Here is a 27,846-nt window from a genome sequence, read left to right as displayed (position 1 = left end):
CCTATGGAATATAGCCAGTTTCCAAACTGTGTTTTTTAGGGTTTATGCCAGCTTTGCTATGATTCTCCCCTTTATACCAAAATCATATTAAAAATATTTTGGTGGGAGTGGTTAATTTTTTAAAAAATGACATTTTACATAATTAATTCAAAGAGGTTGGGTGCAGAAACTCATGCCTGTAATCCCAGCACTTTGGGAGGCCGTGGTGGGCAGATAGCTTGAGGCCAGGAGTTTGAGACGAGCCTGGGCAACATGGCAAAACCCCGCCTCTACTAAAAATACAGAATTAATTCAAATGTCATTGACTTCTTCGGGCGCGTCTTCAAACATCCCATGGGGAGAATCTGACAAATGCCTACCAAAGTAGAAAAGAAATATGAATTTAGGTAATCCTCTACCATGTTAAAGATGAGATGTGATGGATCAGATGTCAAATCAATCAAAGGTTTTGAACCAACTCTGTTAACTTTGAAATTATTTAGCCATTTCCTGCACACCTGGAAGTTGAAAGACAGCAGTTAAAGAGTACATTTCATTTGCCTAGATTTTCTGCGATCATTTTTTTCTAGAGGAATTTGTAGAGACTGCTCGTTTTCAATATTAGGGTAAGAAAAAAGTGAAAAAAAAAAAAAACAATAATAAAACCCTTCAAAACTTTTCTTTCTTTAGGCCTGTCTCAAGACACCAATATTCTCCTTGCCAGCACTCTAATATAGTTTTTGATAATTTGCTCTTTAGACTTCCATGTTCCCTATCGTTTTCAAAGCATAGGATATACCATATTTAGTTTGCCAGCTCCTTTTAATTTTGGAATCAATCACTGAAATAACCGCTGTCATCATTACATGCTCCTAATTAAGCTCAGTAATTGTTTTTCAACACAAATTCAAAGTTGTTGGCTTAGCGGCAGCAAATGAATTTTTCACAGTATCCCCATAATCATTCTGATCACTACGGTACAATGATTATTAAACTGTACATATAGATCAGGGGTTCAACTCCTGGTGTGGGCTTTGTCCTAATTAATATGTCTAAATCAATGGAGAAACAGTATTAATGAATTCAAATGATTGTCATGCACACATTTCTGATAGAATTGCATACTGACAAGTGTCTTCCTATGATGCAACCTAGGAAATGTGTTTTAAATGATTGCTTTTAGCATCTGAATTAATATCATATTAGTTCCAGAAAACATAATGGATGTGAACTAAAATCTCGACCCTTTGTTGGGAAACATCCTTCACTTTTAAGTAGTTCAGTCCTGTGTCAAGAATAATGGCTGGGCTAGGTGCGGTGGTTCACGCCTGTAATCCCAGCACTTTGGAAGGCCGAGGCAGGCTGATTACCTGAGGTCGGGAGTTCAAGACCAGCCTGGCCAGCATGGTGAAACCCAGTCTCTATTAAAAAAATACAAAAATTAGCCGGGCATAGTGGCACACGCCTGTAATCCCAGCTACTCGGGAGGCTGAGGCAGGAGAATTGCTTGAGTCTGGGAGACAGAGGTTGCAGTGAGTCAAAATTGCATCACTGAACTCCAACCTGGCTGACAGAGCAAGACTGTCTCAAAAACAAAAACAAAAAAAGAATAATGGTTGTGGGCTGTGTTTGTTGGCTGTCCTTCCGTAATATGTGTGTGTTTGTGTGTGTGTGTGCATGTGTGCGCGCTTGTGCCTGTTGGTGTTTTTCAAAATTAGGCTGTGCTTTAGAATTACATGGTATATTTGCTGAAAGAATGTGTTTCTTTTTTTTTGAGTTTTATTTATTTTTAATTGACAAATAATGATTGCACATATTTATAGGGAGTAATGTGATGTTTTCATACATGTATGCATTTTGTAATGATCAAATCAGAGTAATGAGCATATTCATTACCTCAAAAATCTATCATTTGTCTGTGGTGAGAGCATTCAAAATCTTCTCTTCCAGCTCCTTTGAAATATACAATACATTATCATTGAGTATAATCCCTCTACTGTCCAAATGAATCCCAGAACTTATTCCTCCTGTCTAAAGGTCACTTCTCACCCTTTGACCCACCTGTCCCCTTTCCCTTCCTGCCCCTCCCTGACTCAGCCTCTGGTAACCTCCATTCTACACTCTACTTCTATGAGTTGATTCTATGAAATCAACTTTTTTTAGATTCCATATATGAGTGAGATCAGATGATATTTGTCTCTCTCTGCCTGGCTTATTTCTGAGCCCATCCCCAGACCTCTGACAGAGAACACCAAAATCTAAATTTTAAGTCTCTCTGGGTGATTGTGATGTACACTGAATTTGAGTCTGTGACCCCTGTGGAAAGAATCCTAGTCCTAGCTTTGACGTTCCTTTGCTGCATATACTTGAACAAGCCTTCTGATTTCTCCAGAAGTCATTTCACAAATTATACGATGTGTGCAATAATGTATATTCTGCTTATCTCACAGGATTGTTAAAAGGATAAAGTTGCGGGAAATGAATAAAAAGAACAGAAGGGCAGAGTCACTACTATTATAGTTTTTTCTTAGAGGCCTAGAGCTTCTCTAGACTTAAGGTTGTGTTCATGACTAGGGTAGAGTAGACTAAATTACAGAAAGGAGTCTCCTCTGGTGACCAGGTAGAGAGAAGATTGTCAGAAATCCTTTTTTCTGATAGAGAGTATATTCTATTTAGAAATAATTTATGTGTATGTTATTTCATTTTTCCAAATCAAATATATATTCTGAGGTAGAACTAAGTTCATTGCTACATGATTTTCCTAGACTTTCCAGGTATAAGCAATCCTTCCAAAGCACCATCTTTGGGTAGCCCATTTCTCTTCCCTTTGCAGGGCTTCAGGGCTGGACTTCATATTCTCATGTGTTATGTGATCTTTGAAAGAATAAAGGGTAATCCTTTTTCATGGGCAAGCTTAAGCTCTTTCAAAAAGTTTGCTTTTAATATTGCTTATTTTCCCTGAGATTTCATTTGCTGTATGGAATTTACTAAAAGAAAGAAAACACATCTTAAAATCAAACCCAGCCTCATTTTATGAATAAGGAAGATGACGCCAGGAGAGAAAAATGATTATTCCAAAGTCACCAATGGATTGATAGAGCTGTGACTAGAAATGATAACTTTAAGTCAAGGATTCTTTTATGTTGCTTTACACTATACCCAGGTAACCTCAAATAACGTTAGAATCTGTGAATTGTGAAGGCTTTCCTTCTAAGACACACATGCACACACACACCATCTAAGGTGAATATAGTTGTGAGGCTTTTTAAAAAATAAAATTTAAGTTAGAAAGGGTCATATTAAAACTGAACTTTTACATTTTGTTGGTAATGCACGTTATCTGAAATACCTCTGTCCTTTGCTTTATTATCAATAAAGTTGGGCCTGAGTCTGACATTTAAGCATTAAAAACTTAATTCTTTTCTCACTCTCTTTCCATAGTTTCTTGTCTATGAGTAAGGGGAACAACGACTGGGGCCTGCTGGAGGATGGAGGATGGGAGGAGAGAGAGGATCAGGAAAAATAACTAATAAGCACCAGGGTTAGTGCCTGGATGATGAAATAATTTGTACAACAAACCCCCATGTCACAAGTTTATCTATATAACAAACCTGCATATGTACCCCTGAACTTAAAAGTTAAAAAAAAAAGAAATGAGCCAAACCAGGTTATGGGGGCTGGAAATAAGCACATAAATTACTTGTCTTTAGCCTTTTAGCTTACAAGGATCTTAGAAATAAAAGCCATTTAACAACATTGAAAACTGTTGCCTTCATTCTATTTTTTCACAGATAAAACTAATTAGCAAATTATCTTGAGAACCTATTTTATATCCTTCTAACTGTTAAAAGCCAATAGATTTTTTATATAAATATGTAATTTATGTATTTATGTGTCTGTCTTATATTCAGCAAACTTTCAAAAAATGTTATAGGAATTCTTATATTCTTTCTCTACTAACCCCTAGGATCAACCTAGTTAGCTCTCAAACATAAAATTACTACTTTAAGTATTAGGTGATCTCACTAAATGTATTAATCAAATTTTCATATATTTAACCATATATTAAACTAATAGGACAGCTCATCATTTAAGAAAAACTAACAAATCAACAAACTCTGAATTGAGTGTCCCAAATTTGCAAAGTGAAGGATCTTCCCCTGACAGATGAGTTTCACTGGTTTGGGTATGATAAAGACAAGGAAGCTTTAGTCTGTGGAATGAGAAGACATGGTTTTTCAGCTCCTTTGTTGTAAAAAGAAGACACTGAAGTTAGCTCAAAAAAATTCAAGATAAGGTAGAATTGCCTTTAGCTTTGAAGTCATTTAGCTAATTAAGTGCATTTAAGTCATTTAACTCATTAATCTAGACAATTTTAGGATCTAAATAACTATGCACATCAAGAGTGTATTTTTACTGCAAAATAAAATCAGGCTAAACCAGCTTATTTTGCCAAAATACACTGAAGTTGTTACTCTTTGTGTGTGTCATATCAACTTCACATCTGTAAAACAAGACTTAAAAAAAGGTTTTAAAACCCAAAGCTACAAAAGTTTAATATGTATTTTCTTTTCCTGTATTAACACTACATATGAAGTTTCTACTAACTAAATATCTGTAGTATTTACCTATGAATATTTACGTATGCATATATTTTTAAATTTGTAAATTCCACCCACAATATGAAGCAAATTCTGCCTTTGCTACAACTTGATAAATAAGAACAAAAACTTACTGACCCTTTCTCCCTAGAATTCCACAAATAATATGTGAGAAACAAATATAGGTTTTTTTTTCTTATTTGCCCAGAATAAAAATTCCCTTTCTGCCTTAGAGGGTACATAGCTGTCTTCAACATATTTTTCTAAAATCAGTATTTTTGGGTGATGTGACCCACCAGTGAAGTCACATAATTTTATCTGATGAAATAAATCTAGATATCCATCTGGATTCATTCCTTATAGAACATTTTCATAATCATTGCATATGCAGCAACTGAGGCTGCAGTTCCGCATTGAGGCAGGGGTGGGAAATGCAAAATGAGCTTACATTTTAGTCTTTCAAATTGAGGAAACAAATCTTTTTTTTTCCTTTCTCTTCATTTTTTTCTTTCCTTTTATCTTTCTTTTCTTCCTGGCTTCCTGTGTTACTTGCTTCCTGTCTTTCTCTTCTCTCTCTCCCCTATCTCTCTTCTCTCTCTCTCTCATTTCTGACCACAATAAGGCAATGCATGGCACCAATCTCAAGAATAAATGTTCTAAGCAGACCTAATCAATAAGACAGAGACATAAGTACGGTTACCTGGAGCTGGTGGGTAGGGGGTTAATTATTGCCTGGAAAGCGGCATGAGGGAATACCCTGGGGTACTGGAAATGCCTATATCTTTATCTGAGTGATTGTCACATGGCTGCATACCCGTAGAGAAATTCCTTGAGCTGTACACTACAAATTAGGACATTTTATAAAACACTTTATTTTGTGTATGTTTTGGTTCAGTGAGGAAGAACAAAATAGTGTGGTGCCCACAGGTAGGATTTTACCTATAATGAGGCGAAGGGTAACCATTAGCAGCACAATTCAGGATGACCTCAGATTTTGATAAATCCAAAGGAAAAATGACATCATGTGGCTCCTGAGTAAAAATAGGACGGCTTAAAAGACCATCACCTGGGAAAAGAAAAGAATAAATCACATGAAAAAAAAGTGGCCCTGTTTTGAATGCAAGTCTATATTAAATATCAATTCAATATACATATTTAAAATTATTTTATTTTAAAACAATCTCAAATTCACAAAAAGTATTACAAAAATGGACAAAGAATTTTTTTCTCTTGTAAACCAATCCCCTATTACCCAAATAAATTAGTTTATATTTCCAACAAACAAAGGGCATAACACCCCCAAAACCAACAATATCAAGAAATTAACATTGATTCAGCTCTAAGCAGCTAATCTTCAGGTCCCATTTCCCATTTTTTCTAATAAAATTCTATTTTTTGTTGTTTCATTTTTGTTGTAGAGACAGTGTCTCACTCTGTCACCCAAGCTGGAGTGCAGTAGTGTGATCATAGCTCACAGAAGCCTCTAACTCCTGGGCTCAAGTGATCCTCCCATCTCAGCCTCCCAAGTAGTTAGAACTACAGGTGCCTGCCACCATGCCTGGCTATATGGAGTCACCTTCTGTTGCTCAAGCTGGTCTCAAACTCCTGACCTCAAGCCATTCTCCCACCTCAGCCTCCCAAAGTGCTGGGATTACAGGATTAAGCCACTGTGTCTGGCCCCCAATAAAATCTTTTACACCAAAAGAATCCAGTTGATATTTTTTTTCTTTTTTATTTTCTTTTTATTTTTTGAGACAGATTGTCATTCTGTTGCACAGGCTGAATTGCAGTGGCACAATCACAGCTCACTGCAGCCTCAACCTCCTGGGCTCAGGTGAACCTCCCACCTAGCCCTCCTGGGTTAATTTTTGCCACCATGCCAGGTTAATTTTTGTTTTCTTGTAGAGATGGTGTTTCACCATGTTGCCAGGCTTGTCTTAAAATTCTGGGCTCAAGCATTCCATTCACCTCAGCCTCCCAATGTGCTGGGATTACAGGCATGATCCACCATGCATGGCCTCTCTTAATTATGTCTCTTTAGTCTATTTCAATCTGCAACAATTCCACAGTCTTTCCTTGATTTCCCTGACTTTAACACCTTAGATCACAAGGCAGTTATGTGGTAAAGTTTCACCTCATTTGGGCTTGTCTGAATAGTCAGGTATCAATGGCAAGTCACAGACTCTTCCCTGTATTGGTAGGAGCTATATGCCAAGGGCACATATAATAAAAGGGTCTATAAAGATGTTCAAAAATAATAATAAAAGCAGTAAAAATTGGCTTTAAAAATCACTATAAAAAAGGCTTCTCCCAGCCAGCAAGTACACTGATCCCATTGTCTTGCCCTCTTTCCCTCTATCCTCTCCTCCTTCACTGGATACACCATTGGAGGTAATAAACCACTTTCATTACAATTCGATTCAGGATGCTGTGCTCTTTATGCTGCGTTCTGTCAGGTAGAAGGTTAAGACTTCTATCTGTCCCATTGCTCTTGAAGTTAAATAATCATTTGACTAAGGTGGTACCTGTCAGACTTCTCCAGTATAAAAGTAAGTATCTTTTTTTTCTTTATAATTAGTGTTTTGTGGCTAGGGATTTTAGACAATGCAAATATGCCTCACTGGACATTTAAACTTTTTATTCATATATTTCTATGAGGATGATCTGTTTTATCGGTGTGAATCCAAGGTTTCTTATTTTGGTAAATGAGTTATAATACATTTGCTATTTATTCGATGCTTTCAAATGGCTTGCCTTTGGCATGTCCTTACCCTTCTTTGAATTCTTCCTTTCTGATACAAGAGAGAGTTCCAGGATCATCTTGTATTTCACCTGCTCTGCCAGCAAAGTAGCCATTTTTGTTGTTGTTGTTAAAAACAAAAACAAAACAAAACAAAACAACCTGGCTTCCTTTATTAGAGATTGGTATTTAGAAGCCATCATGAGGATGCTCACCGTACTCATTTTTTTTTGAGGTGCTCTTGCCCAGAGCCTCTCAGCAAATTTGTGTGTGTGCGTAGATTTTATACGTGTGTGATGTGTTCATTTATGGTGATTTACAGTTGTCCTCTGTTTATATTTGCAACTCCCATTTAGGCTGTGAGAACCCTGGTGCCCATTATCTTTGACATATTTATGCATTTGCTCACTTCCCCTGTATGTGACTAGTCTCGTATCACTGTCAGCGTCCTCTTCCCCCTGCTCAGGTCCTGATGTCCACTCCCAGTTTTACTCCTATACCTGCCCTGACACCACTAGCTGGGTGATTCCTCCCTCCTCACCTCACTCAGATTCTGACCCTGTTTAGGGTCTGCCTCCAGTGTGGATGTCCTCCTTCACCCCACTCGGGCTCTGACACTTGGTACACAGACATATTCCTACATGGATAGCTTTCTCGCTTTCTCACATCTTTCAGATCACACGGGAGCTCTCTTTCCCCCAGAAACCACCCTCCTTCTCCTTGGCTCCAACACCAGACTCCAGGCTTCTGCCTTCAACACCCTCCCCTAACAATGGAACCCTCTTCCCCTTCCTCAGGCTCTGATACCCTCTGCCAGGCCACCCCACCACAGGTATGGCCTTCTCACCTTACTTGGGCTCTGCCACTCACACCAAGTCACCACTGTCCTAACCCCTGCCCTGCATGGATGCCTCTCTCGCCTCTCTCAGGTTCCAGCACCTCAGGCTGGACTGCTGTGGCTCTCCTCTTCCACATGCACATGGATGCCTACCTCACTCAGCTCCAATTCATGGCATTTGGACTAAATTGCTATGAAAGAAAGGGAAGGGGAAGAGGATGAGGAAGAGCTTAGTACTCATGTGTAAGGTGAAATTCTGTGGTTTTTATTTTTTAATGTCTTGAAAGAAACCAAAATATTTCTTCCCCAAATATTGAGGATTGTTGAGTTAAAGGCACTGAAAAGGCAGGAGAATACCCGGCCTCAGCCTCTGTTTGCTTGATGGCAGGACATCCATGCTTCCTTACTGGAGACAGCACTTGTTATCAGCCCAGAGAAGGCACCAGCAGGCACCAGAGGAATCTGAGAACAGATTTCACTATCCTCTCACATTTTCTCACCTTTTAAAGGACTAAAACTGTTCTTTCCTTTGCCTTGTTACTATGCAGAATTTATGGCATTTTGATAAAATATTATTGAAACATCACCCCAAGCCACTGCCTTGAGAAAAATACTTTTGAATTGATGTCTCTCGGCATGATGGGTCCAGCATGTGTTAATACATTTCTGCTTTTCTTTTGTTAATTTGATTTTTGTTTGTAGGAGGGTGTCTCAACTAAAAACCTAAAAAGGGAAATAAAAGAAATTATGTTTTCTCCCCTCCAGTGCAATGCACAACATCAAGCGTAAACCTGATCATGTTAGGACTTAATTTGAAGTCCAGTCTGTAACTCTAATAATTGTACTTGAGTGATGTGTGAGCTTGCTTCTCCTATGTTAACCCATAGTCATTTCCTTCTATACCAACCACAGCACTAGAGAACCTCAAAGCTGGAAGATCTTTTACAGACCACTCAGGTCAGACTTCTTGGTTGGAAAGACCATAGAGCTACTGGTTAAGAACGTGTGCTCTGGAATCAAATGGGCCTCAGGGGATTTAAGCAATCTTCTGTGTCCTTGTTATTAAAATAGATGCAATGTGTATATCAGATGGTTGTTTTGAGATTTAATAATATATTGTTTATAAAATATGTCACATTGTGCCTCACAATGAGTAGATATATAGTCATCAAATTATGACAATCATCAGCATCATCATCATCATCCATCATTATTATTAAAGAGAAGGAAATTGAAACCCAGGAAGTTGAATCATCTTTTCCAAATTTAACATCTGTCTTAAGAGAGAGCAAGAAATTAAACTTTGGCTTCCTGATTCCCTCTCCATTGTTTTCACCATCCACTCAGATCTGCTTCCATCATATTAGTCTTCTAAAATATTTGCAATTGGGTAAAATAAGTTCTTTTATTAACCTCATCTTAAAATTGTAATTTAGGCACCTTTCCTCAGTGACCTAGAAGTGTAGATAGATAGAGGTTTTAATTCTAGCCTGGTCAATTACTGGCTCCCCAGTGCTGGACAATTTACTTCACCACTCTTGTTCTCTGATTTCTCAGCTGTTAAAGGAGGATGCTATGTCATATATTTTAGTGTTCCTGTAAATGATGATCGAGCAAGTGGATTGAAGATGTTTGAGTGAGTTTTCTTATATCAGTATCAGTGCCTAATGAAATGTGTGAGACGTTGTAAGTACAAATAACAGACAAACAGAAATTAACAATGCCTGAAAAGAAAAGGAACATATCCTGACAAAATTACTTAAAGAAAAAAACCAAAAACAACTGTGGAGTAAAAGCAGTCTGGTCAGGCTCAGAGAAGGGAAGGAGTTCTTGATTTCCTAATGTCGTCCTCACACCCTATAGGATTTACTGGTGAAATAACAGCATTCTGAGAATTCTCATTATAACTTCTAAATCTGGAGATAAGCAGATTTGTATGTACACAGATGGAAAGGTCTTATCTTTTTCTTTTACCTCTTTCTGGCTGAAGAGCAATGAAAAGGGCTTCTAGGAAAAAAAAAAAAGTAAAGTGGGGAAATATGGATAGTAAAGCTGACTCTGTTTAACCAATTAATAATGTCATGCCCATGCACTCAGGGGTGAAGCCTCTGAAGCCCATTAGAAAAGTGCTACATCTTCCAATGAAGTATACTGAAGTCTCTTCCAATAATAATCTGGCTACAATTCATTGAAAAAGAAATCTTAGGATAGAGAGAAGCACCCAGGTATCCTAAAAAGGCTGAACTTTCCTTGGCCCCATCATTCTCTCAGGCTACAAAATGTGGGTACTCGCCATAAATCCTGTCTCCAAACTGGAGCTAAGAAGGAGAAAAAAAATTGTTCCCAGATATAATAAAAATAAAATTCAAAAAATATATTTCCCCATTAAGTAAAATGAATTTTCTGTACACAGTTTCTCAAGCATGAACAATATGAAAAGAAATGGAATAGTAACTATGCAAATATATTGCAGCAATAAAAGAGTAAAACATGGCATGACCAAGACAGGGAAAATACTCAATCTAAAAGAAAACATAACTCAAGAAAACCTGGGGAATTCCTCAAAACAGTTTTATGCTATAGAATAAGAGCATGAGTTTTTAAAAATAATATAACAATGTCAATATGAAAAAAATACACAGACAATAGAACCAGATAAATTTGGAGACCATGAACCTAAGGATGCAAACTGTAACCCAGGCAACATCAATAAATAACAAATAAATCAATTGGAATAGGCAAGCAACAAAACAGATACCCACTGAAAGTCACATTACTGCTATAATGTTTTGAGATGATTGTAATTATCTCACATAATGTGAAAAAAGCACAGATAATAAAACAATGAGGAGAAGGTAATGGATTAGAAACATAGATAAAGATGATTCAACATTAAGATCCTTGATGTCACCGAGTTATAGAATCAAACACATGTCTCAGTAAATACCATTAAGAAAAGTTACTATAAATGGAAAGAACATGTTCCAGAAATATTTGAAAGAGTGAATACTCAACACCAAAGCGTTTGCTGATTAAGTGACTAATATTTGAAGAACATCAAGAGGAAGCTTCTTTAAGAAGACTGGACAGAAATAGCAAGCTAAGTAAAAGTGAAAGGATGGGCACAGGGGCTCATGCCTGTAATCCCTGCACTTTGAGAGATCAAGACAGAAGGATCACTTGAGGCTAAGAGTTTGAGACCGAGCCTGGGTACTATAGGGAGACCCTGTCTCTACCAAAAACAAAAAGAAAAGAAAAATTAGCAGTGGTGGGTGCTTGTAGTCCCAGCTACTTGGGAGACGAAGTGAGAGAATCACTTGAGCCCAGGGATTTGAGGCTGCAGTGAACTATGATCACACTGCTGTACTATAGCCTGGGTGATAGAGCAAGACCCCATCACACACACATACATACACAGAGTAAAAAAGAAAACTCAGAATAAGCTGGGATTTTAAACAGTACCATTTTATACCAGAAGTCAATGAAGAAAAGTCTGTAAATATTCCAAATGGAAGGATGACTTTAGTATTATCACCAATATATCTTTCAAATATAATGGCATCTGAGCCGGGCACAGTGGCTCACACATGTAATCCCAGCACTTTGGGAGGTGGAGGTGGGTGGATCGCCTGAGGTTAGGAGTTTGAGACCAGCCTGGCCAACATAGTGAAACCCCATCTCTACTAAAAATATAAAAAATTAGCTGGGCGTGGTGGTGGGCGCCTGTAATCCCAGCTACTAGGGAGGCTGAGGCAGGAGAATCGCTTGAACTCAGGAGGCAGAGGTTGCAGTGAGCTGAGATTACGCCATTGCACTCCAGCCTGGGCAACAAGAGCAAAACTCCGTCTCAAAAAAAAAAAAAAAAAAAAAAAAGACATCCAACAAACACATTTGAACAATTTGAACATTAAAAAAACTAATATAAAAAAGCTAATATGAAAAATAACAGATGATTATTCTTAAAGAGATCACTTAACAATGAAATCCATTCAATTAAATATGAATCAATATGCAGATCTTGAGAATGAAAGAGGAATAATGGGATACACACAGAATACTTTCAAACACAAACTTACACTTAAGAACTCTGCTAGTTTTAGTTATAGAACAGAATATAAATGCTACAACCTCGATAAGATAAACAACAAAATAGAAAAATGAGAAGTGAATGAGGGAATATAATTAGCTAGTATGAGCGCTAGTATCATCTTTCACAGCAAAAAGTCTATAGATACATACATGTACACATATATACATATAATATTATTGTATTTACAAACAAAGGCACTCTGACCTCTTTGTATCATTCATTGTATCTTTTAACCTTAGAGAAATCATTTAAAAAATTTTTTTGTCTCAAATCATTTATTAGAAGTTCAAATTATTTATCATTTTTACTTTGTTTTATTCTGTTTTCTAAAATAAAATTTAATCTTGACGTTAAAAGTAACGTCTATGGTATGATCTCATTTTTATAAAATATTTGTATTCTTCTATGCTATTATCTATCTATACATGAATACAGTATATCTTTTCTGTATTTATATATATAGAAAGATGGCTATAATTTTACCCAATATTAATAATTTTTATTTTTAGAGAAAGTTTTATTGGAGATAGGTTTTTTATTTTCTTTGCATAATATTTCATAGTTTGAATGATTAAAATAAAAATGCGTTATATTAAAGAAACATCAGATTTTTTAAAAAATGAAGAAAAGAGATGGGAAATAAATACGCTGAGATGGTAACTTAATTTTTGATGGTGGGAATATGAATGACTTTTTTGCAGATCTCCATAAAATCTCTTTAAAGTTTCCAACCCCCTACCTCCTACACAAAAAAAGAAAACCTGGTTGAAATAATGCATATTAAGCAACATACATTATGCCAGGCACAAAACAAGCACACAACAAATGCTAATTCATTTGCTTTCCTTTACTTTCACTCAGAGAAAAGTCTGGTTTAAACTTCATGTAGTCCAAATTGGGGGTATAACTTGGCTTAATAATATCTTATACTTGTGAGAATGATTAGTGGTTTTCAAAAAATATATACATACAGCAGTTTCCAAATTAAATCCCTGTGATGCCTTTTGTGAGATGCACATTTCTGTTCCCATTTGATAGATGAGAAACTTAAAGACATTTTTCTAAGTAACTTTAGGTCATTTTGAAAGACACAGAAGTTAGGTCTTGTTGAATTATCATCAGTCAGTTGATATCATTCCTTTTTTTCATTTATATTTGTTATCAACTTTTTAGGAGCTTGAATTTATACCACTTGATAAGTAAAAAGTCTAGTTTCAACTAATTGTTTAATATCTTTTGGTAAATTGTTAGATTTTTCTCATACTGTAATGAAATGATGAAATAACAGCAAGTCTTTATTGTTTTGTCTATACAATCAGAAAGCAAGAACAATGTTGGTTTTCTGTATAGGAACAGCTGAAAACATGTGACAATATGATATCAAAAACAAGAAATCAAAATGCATTTTCAAATACTTGTGCTTTAAGAATGTATTTGGGAAAAAGAATGGTGTTGGTATTTTTGAGCCACTGCTACAATCAGTGAGTAATTGTATTGAAGACACATACTACTGTATGTGTATGTGTATACACATATATATGTGTGTGTGTATATATATACACACACATATGTATATATATACACACATGTATATATATACACACACATGTATGTGTATATATATACACACACATATAAAAACTATATGTGTATACATACTACTATACATTGTAATCACCAATGATTATAATGGTACTCTCTACAAAATGTTTTATTAGAGAGGCTGGGCATGGTGGCTCACACCTGTAATCCCCACACTTTGGGAGGCCAAGACGGGCAGATTGCTTGAGCCCAGAAGTTCAAGACCTTATCTCAAAAAAAAAAAAAAAAAACAAGTTTTATTTGGCAGTAAGGCAAGAACTTTGGAATAGGTAGACACTGAAAAATAAATGTTTCTAAGTAATAATTATATGAAAATTGTACAATATTGTTGAAAATGCATAAAGGGTTCTGCCCTACCTTTCTTCCTCCATTATCTTCTATGGAATTAAAAAGTTAATTCCATGATCTGACTGCAATATTACATCTAACCTACTGGTATCTAACGTTCATTATTATTCCCTAAATACTGAGAACTTTTTATTCGAATGCAGTGACATTCTGGCATTTCTGAATGGCCCATGAACCATTTCATGGAGAAGTAGCTCTTAAACTGTGGAGATCCTTAAAGGCATGTTCAATCTGCTTTAGGCCATTCCTTGGGCCATGGCTGACTGGATGAGAAGTGAATATGTTCTTCTTGGGCTCTGGTGTTTCTCTCTCCCAAGAATTTAGATATAATATTAAGAGATGCTAGTCTCTGCTGGTTGCTTGAGCAGAGATGAGGATGTTCATAACTTTTATAATATCCATCGTCCATAAAACTCATGAGGAGGTAGAGAACACCAGTCTACACAAAGGCAGAAATTGAGATAAGTAGATGATAGAGAGAGAGGGTGGGGGGGAACAGAATGATGGAGAGAATGAGTAATTTAGAGGAGAGAGGCTTTATTCCCTGAATTTTTAGATCTTTGGTTTCAATTTCTAGTGAGATCTGCCTCTAGGTTACATGAACCACTAATTGTATGGTTTCTGTTTCTTACAACTAAAACAGCCTTGAGAAAGATAGCTTTAAATAAACCATAGAAAGAGACCAGTGTTTGGCTGCTTTTCCTCTCCAGAACTACAAAAGTGCAGACAACCTGGGCTTTTAGAGGAAATCACAAGGGAAACTCACATACATTAGAAAGCCTGTATCTAAAAGAACACAGAACTAAAAGTCATATTATTTTTGGTTCTACCTGAATCACATTGTATGAGCCTGGGTAAATTTCAGGTTTCACCCAGGGATAAGACTAGAGAGCTCCAAGATCACACCCAGATATAAAGTACCTGAGATCTTTCTGTGTTAGAATTTTGTTGCTCCCAATATATTTCCCCACCGTGGCTCCTGGAACCTCCAGAATATCTTCTACCGCAGAAGTCTAATTTGCACAAATGTTGCAAAGCCTTTGAGGATTTTCCATTAGTGTGAGTTGGGGCTATGAGCTGGGGCACTGCATATTGGTTAGGCAGCTGATGAAAGGGAGAACCTGGAAGTCAGTGGGTCAGCAGTGAGTCACATTTACACTGAATGGTGGGGCAAGGCCCCCAGGTCATGTGAGGGTCGCTGAGAAAGTATTCCCATGCCCAAAAGGAAAGTGCCATTAAAAAGCAAATAAAAAACATCATTCCAGATCAAGAAAGATACCAGGGAAGTAAGAAAACATTTTATATTTTAATGCCTTTAATGGCAATTTTTTTCTGCCTTTTGAACAAGGGGCTCACATGTTCCTTTTGTACTGGGGTCTGCAAATGATGTAGTTGAACCTGACTAAAACTTAAAGACATTAAATAATTAGCTCAAAATCACATCCCTATTAATAGTCCAGAGCTGGCATTCAAATCCAGGTTTGACTCCAAGTCCAGAGTGACACAAATTATACATCCACTTGAGTTCTGCATACTTTCAGTACTATAAAAGCTCTACCCTCCCTGGCTTTATTTTTCTTCTATTACCAAGCTTCTACCTTAGTTTTTCAAACTCATACTCTTTAACCTGTAGAGCTTAAGCTAGACTAAACTCACTTAATATCTTTCTTGGAATGCAGGTTCTATAAAGAGTTAAGCCTTTTTTTTTTCTTTCCTTTTTCCTTCCCTTTCCTTCCCTTCCCTTCACTTCCCTTCTTTCTTCCTTCTCCCTCCCCTTACCACACGTATTTATCTTTTACCAATTTTCTTTAAACTTCCTGTCAAGTCACAAAATTTTAAAATAGAAAAAATACTTAGAGAAATGTTTACCTAATTTACAGAAAAAAAATAAAACAGAAAAGTAATTCTAGAGAGGTCAAGTGTCCTACTTAAGAACTAGAGGCAGACCGGAGCTTTAAGTCAAAAGATCAAGCTCTGAACTGAGATCCCACTGCCTGTTGATGTTTATCTTTTGAAGGGTTTTATGCAGTGAAGATATGTCAGACTTACTTCATAGGAGAAAGAAAAAAGGAAAAAAGTAAACTTTGTCAGCTATGTTCAAAAATAAAGATGATAAAGCTAGAGTTTTAAAAATAGTTATGAAATTCTTATACTAGTCTAAGTAGAGAGATACATCTTACTAAGGTGGTGGGAGCAAGAATTGAAAGCAAAGGTAAAAGGTGATTTGCCAGTTAACTGAATGTGGGAGCATGATTAAAGGAAAAGGAAACATTAAAGATTGCTCAGATATTTGTTGTTTTTCAAAATAGAGGAATAAAGAAAAGAGGAATGCTTGTATTAGGAAAAAATACTAATTCAGGTATAAAGATACTGATTTTGATGGTGCTGGGGCTCACAGTTTTACCTGTCCAACCAACAACTGGAGACACTGATGTTGCTCAGTATTTAAGGGCTGGGATGGGAGACTGATTTTTGAATTGTTGTCTTTTAAATTGTAATAAAAATAAATTTTCATTGTAATAATCATTTGATAATAATACTTTCAACAAATGTATTTGGAATTATTTCAAAAGTATATGTTCAATAACGCTTGAACATCAAGCATCAGTTAGATTCAAGCCATACTTGAAATCAGCACTCACTTCACAAGATGCAAAGCTAGACTGTGTCTAAGGACTGGACACTCAGTGGCCTCTTACTCTAGGTAACACCAAAGATGTGAAGAAGAGAAGCTGCACAGTCACCTGACAGTGGCCATGCTTGTTATTTCTTACATGCAGTAGACATTTGAGAAGACAATTCTTAATGTGAAAGCTGCTTTTCACATAATGGAATCATTCTGGTTATCTTTATGTTACTCTAGCAGAATGAACTAATGGTATACACATGGTATAAAGTTGAAGATCCAGTATTCAAATATGAAATATGAAGTATTTCAGTCCAGTCAGACATCTATGGTGACCTTGTGATTTGAGATTAAGCATTAAACCTGCCTAAAATGTATATGCCATATTGGAAGTGGCATGCAGATCATAAAGTAAATTATAATAAGAAGAGTTCATTAGCATATATTTCACATTCTGTTGATCTCTTTAGGTTAAAGCCAGACCAAAATAAAATTCTACATCATTGCTTATCTAGATATTGCCAGCACACAGTGATAAATCCAACATAAGTAAACTCGACCAACTTTTATTAGCTCTAACTCTGTGTTGAACCTTCTTTATGCACTGACAATGCAAAAATAAATAAGTGGATTACATTCAAGAAGCTGACACTCAAATAATAATTTGGGAGCATAGTAAGTGCCAGGAATCAAGTTAAACTTGTAATATGAATTATCTTATTTGGTCCTTTCAAGAACTCTGCGAGGCAGATTTTAATATTTCCATTTTAAAGATGAGAAAATGAGGTTTAGAGAATGGAAATAACTTGTTCAATATCAAATAGCTAAAGGGTGGTGAGGCTCAATTTTGAGTCTAGGCAAACTGACTCCAGAACTCATACCGTAAATCACTATGATTTATACTCCAGAAAGGGAAGCCAATAAGAAAACAATTAACGAACTACAATATTACAGGATAAGTACTACACCAAAAGTATAAATATAATTTTAAAGGAGCCCAGAGAAGGAAGCAATTAATTCTACCTAGAGGTTTTGGAAGAATGCCAAAAGAGGCAACATTTGAACTATGTGTAAAAGAATGAAAATAAGAATGGCATTGAAACAGGAGTTACAGTAAGGAAGTTTTAAGAAGAAGAAAAGCTTGAATAAAGATATGAAAATACCTGTCATTCAAAAGAATATAACTAGTCTGGAAGGTAGGAGAGTCATGAAATAAAAAGATGGAATGGCAGATTTAGAACAGTTTTGAAGGACCTTAAATGATATGACAGAGGTTTGAATTTGACCTGTAAACAGTTAGAAAACATGGAAGTGTTTTCAGTTTTAAGCAAGATTATGATATGTTTAGATCCATGACTCACGGGAGGAAGGATAGGGAAAGAGAAACCACAGATCAAGGAGATTATTTATCAAACGTTTGAAACCACTGAGATAATTGGGCATTGTCAGTAGGAATAAAGAGGACAAGAATGATGTGAGAGCTTTTTTGGAGTATGTAGGCACAATACCAACAAAATATTATAAATGATTTGATGTGAGGAAAGAGGCAAAGACAGCATTAGAGATTACTCTGAGTTAGCTATTAGGGATGAATGGAAGAATGCATGTATGTTGAAGTCCTTAGCTGTTAAAGGAAGAGGAGAAGAGAAAGATGAGGAGCAGTGAGAATGAAAGAAGATGAGAGAGGAGATATAAATTTAATTTATTTTTTATTCATTTACTGAACAATCATTTATTTGTGGGATTACTATGTGCGAGAACCATCTTAGAGCCTGAAAATACAGCAATGAACAAAACAGATAACTTTGAGTCTGTGACAGCGTTTGTATTCTAATTGAGGGAGGCATAAGATAAATGAACAAACAAACAGAAGTTATATGAGATTGTTGTGAGTGCTATGGAGAGAAATAAAGGGTAAGGGAGCTAGAAATGCTGAAGTCAGGTGTTATTTTATAAAAGGCAGTGAAGGAAGGCATCACTGGTCTGGTGACATCTGAACAGAGATCAAAAGAAAAGTGGATAATAAAACATGCACTGAGAAAAATTTCTAGGCAGAGGAACAGCAAGCGTCAAACCCCTGAGACTGAAAGCATTGATATAATTTAAGGGAAAATAATGGTGGCTGGGACCAAAGTATTTGTGGTATAGATGTATAATAATTGGATTCTAGATCTTTTTTTGTATATTAAAGCAATGAGATTTGTAATATGTTGGAGAAAAATTTGGAAATCATGAATGAGTATCAGGTATTCAGCCTAAGGAAATGGAGGGATAGGTTTTCCATTTTCTGGGGAGAGAAAACACTCAAGTAGAACAGCTGGCTTGTGCTGGGGGTTGGGAGGAGGACAAAGACTTTGGTTTTATAAATGTTGAGTTTGAGGTTTCTGTTAGACTTTCTACTGAAATATCTAAGGTGGCATCCAATAGATGAATCTGGAGTTCTGGAGATAATTATGAACTGAAGGTATATGCATTTGAAGATCATCGGATTGAGTGTATACAAAGCAAAACAAACAAACAAAGACCCCAAACCCATCCTGAAGACACAGCAACAACTAAAGATCACACTGGTGAGGAGGAACCAGTAAAGGGACTGAGGAACAATAGCCAATGTTGTAGGAGTGTCCTATGAGAGTGATGGACTAGAATCTAAAATTAAAGAAGCTGAATGGTCAGCTTTGACAAATAGGGAAGCTAGGCAAATAAGATGAGTAAAAAACATTCCACTGCATTTAGCAATGTGGAAGAGGTTACTAAGGACCTAGCAAGAGTTGCTGAGTGGAGTGTACATCCTGAATGGAGTGAGGATATGGAGTATGTAAAGAGAGGAATTGAAGACAGTGAATTTGAAAAAGAAAAAATTCTAAGGAGTTTCTCATAAAAGGGTCTAGAGAAATAGGTTTGTACTACAGAAAGACATGGGGTCAATGGTGCATTTGGTTGAGATGGGATACTACATTATATTGACATGATTCTGGGCATGATGCAGTTGCATAAGAACATGATGATACAGGAGAGGGAGAAGACAATACCTTGAGTGACACCCTGGTGGTGACAGGGAGGCACTGAGTTCACAGTGCAGTGGTTGGCCTTAGAAAGAAAGCTTCCATCCACAGTAACAGGAGGGAAGGCAGAGTAAGTGGAGACAGATGGAAAATACACTGATGCATGTGGGGTGGAAAGCAAGTTAAAATTATCTTCTGTTTTTTTCTCTTATTTCCTTGGGAAGTAGGAAGATCATCAGCTGAGACAGATGATAGGAGGGGAAGTATGGGAGGTTTAAGAGGGATGTATGTGTGAAATGATCTTCAGGAGAATGAGAAAGTATTTGGATTAGAGATATGTGATAGGACATATCAGGAAAACTTGCGAAAATTTCAATATGGACATGGAAAGATTGCAGAGTACCCTGCAATTAGGTACTCTTGCAGATTGCAGATTATAAGATTAACCCTGCCTTTCAATGACTCTTAACTACTTTGCAACAATGTAAAGAGGAGAAAACTATTAAGAATGCAAATGACTTTTGGTCATTGAAATGCAAATAAACTGTGTCCAATGAAATGCAGGTGATTTTTTTCCTATTTTTCCCTAATGAATAAGCCAAACTTTTTGCTTGTTTGCTTTTGTAACAGCTTTCTTAAAATATAATTCACATACCATCCAATTTACCCATGGTAAGCCTGTTCTGCATCTATTTATACATTTATTTTAGCATTCCTTATCACCTACACATGTGTGGTACTTTGGATTCTTCTTTGAACAAGTTGCAACATTTTACTGGTCCCTTCATTGATCAGTGAGTTAAAGAAAATCTTTCATGTGTTCATTTACATTTCTTTGAAATTGATGATTTTGCCTTTTTAAAAACTATCATAAAGCATGTTAAATTTGGATTTTGTGAGGGACTTGTAGATGTAGATAGGTAGCTACAAGCAGGAATCTGGTTGGGGAAAGAGACTGAGTTTGATGGCATTGCTTTGTAAAAGGCAGCAACAGCATGGAACTGAATAAAAAGAAAGCTAAGGATGAAAACCAAGGACTGTCAACATCTAGGGAATTGACAAAAGAAAGAAAACAGCCCAATGTTCTGAGGAAGATCTGCATGAGAAGTTGAGACTATTTTGCCAGAACACCATTGTACTATTTTTCTATTGTTGCCGTAACAAATTACCTCAAACTCAATGGTGTAAAACAACACAATTTTACTATCTTATAGTTCTGTAGGTTTGAATTCCAAAATGGGTCTCAGTGAGCTCAAATCAAGATGTCATCAGGGCTGCATTTCCTAGAGGCTCTGGAGTGAAATCTGTTTCCTTGCCTTATACGACTTCTAGAGACTGCCCACGTTCCTCGGATTGTGGACACCTTTCTCTATCTTTAAAATCAGGAACAGCATGTTGAGTCCTTCTCACATTAAATTACTCTACTATTCCTCCATAGTTACATTTTCCTCTGGCCCTTTTTCTACCTCCCTCTTCTACTTCAAAGGCCTCCCCAGCTAATCCAAAATAATCTCTTTATTAGCAACCTCAATTCCATTTTTAACCGTAATTTCCCTTTGTCTTGTAATCTAACAGATTCACATGTTCCAGGGATTAGAATATTGACATCTTGGGGGCCATTATTCTGCCTACCCCATCCATCATATGGGAGGCCAAAACAGGAGAGTTTTTAACAAGGAGGATGTAATTAAGAGTTATATTAGTTACACATGTTAAGAGTTATATATGTTAGAGAGTAACCGTGAAAAACAAGAGCAACAGCAATAAGGCACTAATGTTGATCATCAGAAAGTCCTTGTTTCTTCTTTGGGAGAAATTTCACTCTCAAATCAAGATGAATTGAGACATAAAGGCCAAGCTTGAGATAAACTGGGAACTGAAATAAAACTATGGAATGGTGTACAGGTTGCTCTATAAAGAAGTCAGACAGCAAAGAGAAGGGAGAGGTGAGCAGAAACAACAGCAGGAGGTAGAGAAATTGTTTGTATGTATGTATTTCAGTTTGGATTATTTATCTTTTTAAGATGAAAGAGACAAGCCTATTTGTACATTGACGCTGAGGGACCAACTAAGCAGGAAACTCAGATTCTTTCTTTTGAACTTCTGGGTATTTGACCCTATTACTTTCCCAATTTTAGAACACTTCAACATTAACCTTTGAAAAATAACAGCCTACTGTCAAGTACACAAAACAACTAAAAGCGTTTTTTAAAAATGTCTCAGAGTAAAGATGCTAGAAATGCTGTAAAACCTATTATTATCATTGAGATATTGCAGTGTGGCCCATTGGTTCCTCTTTGAGATAAGAGTGTGTCTCTCTGAAATGTCATTGGCTCTCTCTATATATACTAATAACATAAACATTTGGAAAAAGTAAATACAGTCATGAGTGGCTTAACCATGGAAATGCATTCTGCGAAATGTGTCATTAGGCAATTTTGTCATTGTGGGAATATCACAGAGTGCACTTACACAAACCTAGACAGTATAGCCTGCTACACACCTAGGCTGTATGGTACACAGCCTATTGCTTCTAGGCTACAAACCTGCACAGCCAGCATGTTACTGTACTGAGTACTGCAGACAACTGTAACACAATGGGGAGTATTTGTGTATCGAAACATATCTATACATAGAAAAGGTATTATAATCCTAAGTTACCACCATCTCATAGGGGGGAGTCGGTCATTGACCAAAATGTTATTATGCAGTGCATGACTGCAAATAACTGATGAGAATACTCTAAAAAAAATCTGGAATGGCAAACATACATACGCACCCCAAGCGTGCATTATTTGATGATAACAGACATAATTTTGCTACCGTGGTTTCACTGCTAAGCATGCCAGTCCATCAACCACGCTTCATGTTTATTGTCAACATAAATATCTTCATGAAATCAACGCATTTGGGCTAAACGTCTCCCAAGTGCTCTTCTTCGGAAAGCTAAGACCGTACCTCATTTTCATGTGTATCATCCATGGCTTTCTACCTTCTTCAGTTGAATTCTATCCCGCATTCCTGTCACGTACTTCTCCTGCCCCATGTGCCATGCAAAAATGCCACCAAATTCGTCAGAAAAGATTTGCCCTTTGTGAAACTAGCCTGATTAAGTTTTATCAGCTCATATCTCTCTGGATGTTTGGTAACCTCATTTCTTATTACTGTCTCAGGGATCTTGCCTACAGCCAAGGGCAAATCTGCTCATTTATAATTTCCTGGTTCTTTGTGAGCTCTTTTCTCACAGATGGGGGCAGGTATTTTTGTTTTTGTTTTGCCTGTGTCTGTAACTGTGAGACATTTTTGCTACTGTTGTTCTCACTTTGCTTTAAAACTAACTTATTTAGAAATAAATGTATATTTTCTTAGTGGAACACAATGAAAGCATCTCATAAATTAAAATTATTGTCTGATAAAACCTCTTACATATTTCCTGTACTTGGTAAAGTCAACTTTCTTATCAAGAAATGCTCCTTATCATGTTGAGAGTGGATGATCACTTATTCTTCCTATTACTCTCTTGCTACATCAGTTTAAACTTCATAAACACCATAATTATACTAGACTGAATTCAAATATGTAATAAGAAAATGAAATAGCAGCCCGTGCTTCATTTTGCTAAATTATCTTCCTCTCAGTAAAAAGATAAAATGACAGGGATAGTTTATGGAGATGACAAACATGAGGAAGTTCATATTTTTCAGACTCATACTCAATATTTTTGTTTTCTTTTATGAGCAGGAAAACCGGTTCATTCCCTGTGTGAGAAAAGCCCTTGACATTTACTGTTTATTCCTTCAAGGTTCAGCTGGTTCTGAATTTGGGTTCCTGTCTTTCTTACTTCAATGTTTGAAGACAAATAGTTTCCCTGAGTTGTTACATTGACTTTGTAAAAATTTTATTTTATTTTATTTGTATTTATTTATTTATTTATTTATTTATTTATTTATTTATTTATTTTTTGAGACGGAGTCTGGCTCTGTCGCCCAGGCTGGAGGGCGGTGGCGCCATCTTGGCTCACTGCAAGCTCCGCCCCCCGGGGTTCCCGCCATTCTCCCGCCTCAGCCTCCCGAGTAGCTGGGACTACAGGCGCCCGCCACCACGCCCGGCTGATTTCTTGTATTTTTAGTAGAGACGCGGTTTCACCGTGTTAGCCAGGATGGTCTTGATATCCTGAGCTCGTGATCCGCCCGCCTCGGCCTTCCGAAGTGCTGGGATTACAGGCGTGAGCCACCGCGCCCGGCCCAAACATGTTACAGCTGAGTATGCATGAAGCTTTTCCTTCTCCTCATTCCTAGTCATGCATTCTTTCTTTGTGTTCTTTATCAACATGTTTCTATGTTTTTCACCATAGGGAAACAGACAAGAGAAATAAGTGACACTCCCCAGCGACATGAACTGGCAAGAAAATGCAGGAAAAGTTTCATTTACTCCACTAGCATTTTTTAAAGATTAAGGTTATTATTTTATGCCGTTATAAATGTAATGGATGCTTATTATGGAATATTTGCAAGACTCAGAAAAATAGAGAAAAAATACCCAATTATTACATTACAAAATAATTCTGTTAAGATATTTGCACCTGTAATTCCAGGATTTTTTTTTCTATACTATCCCATCAATTTTTAATCCCTGCTGTTATTCGGTTAACAATATAACATAGGAATTTCTATGCTATTAATTTGTCCTTGTGAATTTTTATTTTTAATGGAATAATATGATTCAGAAGGTCCCTAACAATCCATCACAAGACTGATAAGTCTAAATGAAGTGAAAATGTTTGGGTAGCTCCATATTTTTGTTTTCTATTATAAATAATGCAATAATAAAAGTTTTTCCTAAATTTAGAATTACTTTCTTAGCAAACTTTTCTAGAAGTGGAACTACTGGATATAAGGGAATTGATGTTGGGGTTGTTCTAATAGTTACAGCTAATTTTATCTAATCGAATCTTGTGAGGTTCAGGGAGTGTTTTTCAGTTCCAATGATAGTTAAGCTGGGATATGAAAAATGAGAGTGATGATATTTTTGACAACTCTCTGTTATATGTAGTAACTTGGCATTTATTATCTGATTCAAATCTCAACAAAACTCCATGAGAAAAAAAAGCTAATTTTCCCGTTTCATGGAGGGTAGAATTTAAAACCATTCAGTCAAACATTGGAAGCCATGATGCTAACCCAATCATAGGGAAAAAAAGAGCAAATGGATTCTTTTAGAAAGAGAATAGGGGCTGAGCATGGCGGCTTACTCCTGTAATCCCAGCACTTTGGGAGGCCAAGGTGAGTGGTTCACTTGAACTCAGGAGTTTGAGACCAGCCTGGGCAGCATAGTGAAACCCTGTCTCTACAAAAAATACACACACACACACACACACACACACACACACACACACACACACACAAAATGTTAGCTGGGCACAGTGGTGCCTGTAGTCCCAGCTACTCTACTCAGGAGGCTGAGGTGGGAGGATGGCTTGAGCCCAGGAGGCAGAGGTTGCAGTGAGCCTAGATTGTGTCACAGTACTCCAGCCTGGGCGATAAAATCAGACCTTGGGAAAAAAAAAAAAAGAAAAAAAGAACGAAAGAAACAAAGGGAAAGAAAGAAGAAAGAGTATAGGGTAAGTAAATGCATATGCCCTGAGAGAAATAAAGGAGTATTTAGAGAAGTCAAGTTATTCTTCTTAAGGAAAAAGTTGACAAGAAATGGGGCTAGAGAGATAACCAAAGTGACATGAAGTTATTTTGAGCCTCCTTAAAGAATGAGGAACTAATCCTGAGGGCTTTGGGAGACATAAATTTTACTTAAGGCTGTGATCACATTTACAATTTGGAAAACATGTCCAAATTCTGTATACACATATGCATGTCATGCTTGCATTTATGGAGCTTAAAAAAGAGAGCCCAGTTATGAGCTATGAGCTAGTGTCCAGATGAGAAGAAACTAGACTCAGGCCAAATCTAGTCTTTTCTTTATTTGCCTGCCAGACCCCAAAAGGTCCAAATGCCTCTGGCTTCCTTTGATGCCATGGCATTGGCTGTTCTTACTGTAGCTTTAGAGGTACCACAGATGGCCTCCATCCACCAAGATTCAACTACACAGTGAGACTAAGCCCACGCAGTGCTCAGTAGATGCAGCTCTCCAAAGAGCTGAATTAAAAATACATGCTGAGCCAGGCACGGTGGCTTACGCCTGTAGTCCTGGCAGTTTGGGAAGCTGAGGAGGGCAGATATCTTGAGGCAAGGAGTTCGAGACCAGTCTGGTCAACATGGTGAAACCCCATCTCTACTAACGGTACAAAAATTAGCCAGGCGTGGTGGCACACACTTGTAATCCCACCTACTCATGAGACTGAAGCAGGAGAGTCACTTAAACCCAGGAGGTGAACATTGCAGTGACAGCCTCAGCAACAGAGCGAGACTTCATCTTAAAAAATATATATATATGTCTAAAAAAAAGACATATATATATGTCTAAAAACAAAGTTTTCTACCGCTTTATCTATGAAAATGTAGGCCTTTATCTTAATTTTCCATACAGATTTCAAAGCTAAGCAGAGTGAAAAACTTAATTTTAGTAAACATTGCTATTGCATTTGTCTATTGTTTATTTTATTTGTTTCTTTTGGTGGTAGAATGGAAGAAATTGACTGTTTAAGAAAGTTTTTGCAAACGCCAAAATGATTCACAAGTGGCAAGTACTTATATTGACAAGAACACAAGTGATAATAGAAAATATAATGGAGAGTTTCCTTTTGAGCCATGAGTGAGCTCTTAATCACTCACTTAGCAGAGAGTGCTTCTTATCTCCTCCCGTCTGTGTTCCAATTCCTCTACCTCAAATTGCCAAAAAATGGAACCAAAACAAATAGGCAGCAGAGAGAACAAAGTTTTTAATTGCAATATATTTCATGGCATTTTTTTTTACATTTCAAATAGCCATTTAAAAATACTAAATATGAATTAGTTTCCTAGTGCTGCTGCAACCAATTTTGGCAAACTAGGTGGCTTAAAACAACAAATTTGGCTGGGTGTGGTGGCTCACACCTGTAATTCCAGCACTTTGGGGGGCCAAGGTGGGGGGACTGCTTGAGCCTAGGAGTTTGAGACCAGCTTTGGCAACATGGTGAGACCCTGTCTCTATAAAAATTACAAAAATTAGCTGGGCATGGTGGCATACACCTGTAGTCCCAGCTACTAGGGAGGCTGAGGTGAGAGAATCACCTGGACCTGAGGTGGCTGAGGCAGCAGAGAGCTGTGATGGTGTCACTGCTCTCCAGACTGAGTGACAGAGGGAGACCTTGTCTCAGGAAAAAAAAAAAAAAAAAAGCATATATTGTCTCTCATGGTTCAGGAGTCTAGAAGTCTACAGCCTGAAACCGAGGTGTCAGCAGGGTTGGTTCCTTCTGGAGGCTCTGAAGGAAAAACCATCCCATGACGTTCTGGTTTCTTTTGGTGGTTGCCAGCAATCCTTGGCATTGTTTGACTTGTAGATGCATGATTTCAATCTCTGTCTCCATCTTCACGTCACCATCTTCTCTGAATCTGTGTGTCCTATTCTTTTCTCATAGAGACATCAGCCACTGAATTTAAGGCCCAGTCAAAATCCAGGTTTTAACAAATTACAAGATTTTTAACAAATTACATATGCGAAGACTCTGTTTCTAAATAAGATCGCACTCTTAGTTTCTGAGTGGGTGCGGATGCTTTGGAGGACACTCTTCAACCTACTATGTTGTAGCTCAGCATTTTTTCTTTTCTTTCTTTCTTTTTTTTTTTTGTTTGAGACAGTTTCGTTCTTGTTGCCCAGGCTGGAGTGCAATGTTGCAACCTTGGCTCACTGCAAACTCCATCTCCCGGGCTCAAGCAATTCTCCTGCCTCAGCCTCCTGAATAGCAGGGATTACAAGCATGCACCCCCATGACTGGCTAATTTTGTATTTTTAGTAGAGATCGGGTTTCACCATGTTGGTCAGGTTGGTCTCGAATCCCTAACCTCAGGTGATCCACCTGCCTTGG

The 27,846-nt window shown here is 37.1% G+C and overlaps 1 protein-coding gene across 23 annotated transcripts in view; it reads right to left on the bottom strand.

The window, feature by feature from the left end:
* Positions 1 to 27,846, bottom strand: part of CNTN6 (contactin 6) — a 311,194-nt gene that overhangs the window by 177,885 nt on the left and 105,463 nt on the right. For 22 of the 23 annotated variants that reach the window (XM_011533590.3, NM_001349351.2, NM_001349354.2 and 19 more), the window contains one exon: positions 5,520 to 5,646. In XM_011533590.3, the coding sequence (XP_011531892.1) occupies positions 5,520 to 5,646 (127 nt within the window). Of the gene's footprint in view, positions 1 to 5,519; positions 5,647 to 22,787; positions 23,012 to 27,846 lie in introns of those variants that run through there. The other variant, XM_017006174.2, reaches the window with a different exon arrangement.

Source organism: Homo sapiens, chromosome 3 (assembly GCF_000001405.40).
Source record: "Homo sapiens chromosome 3, GRCh38.p14 Primary Assembly".
Lineage (NCBI taxonomy): Eukaryota > Metazoa > Chordata > Mammalia > Primates > Hominidae > Homo > Homo sapiens.
The sequence above is the reverse complement of the archived record's forward strand: the minus strand, read 5'-3'. Positions and strand labels throughout refer to the sequence as shown.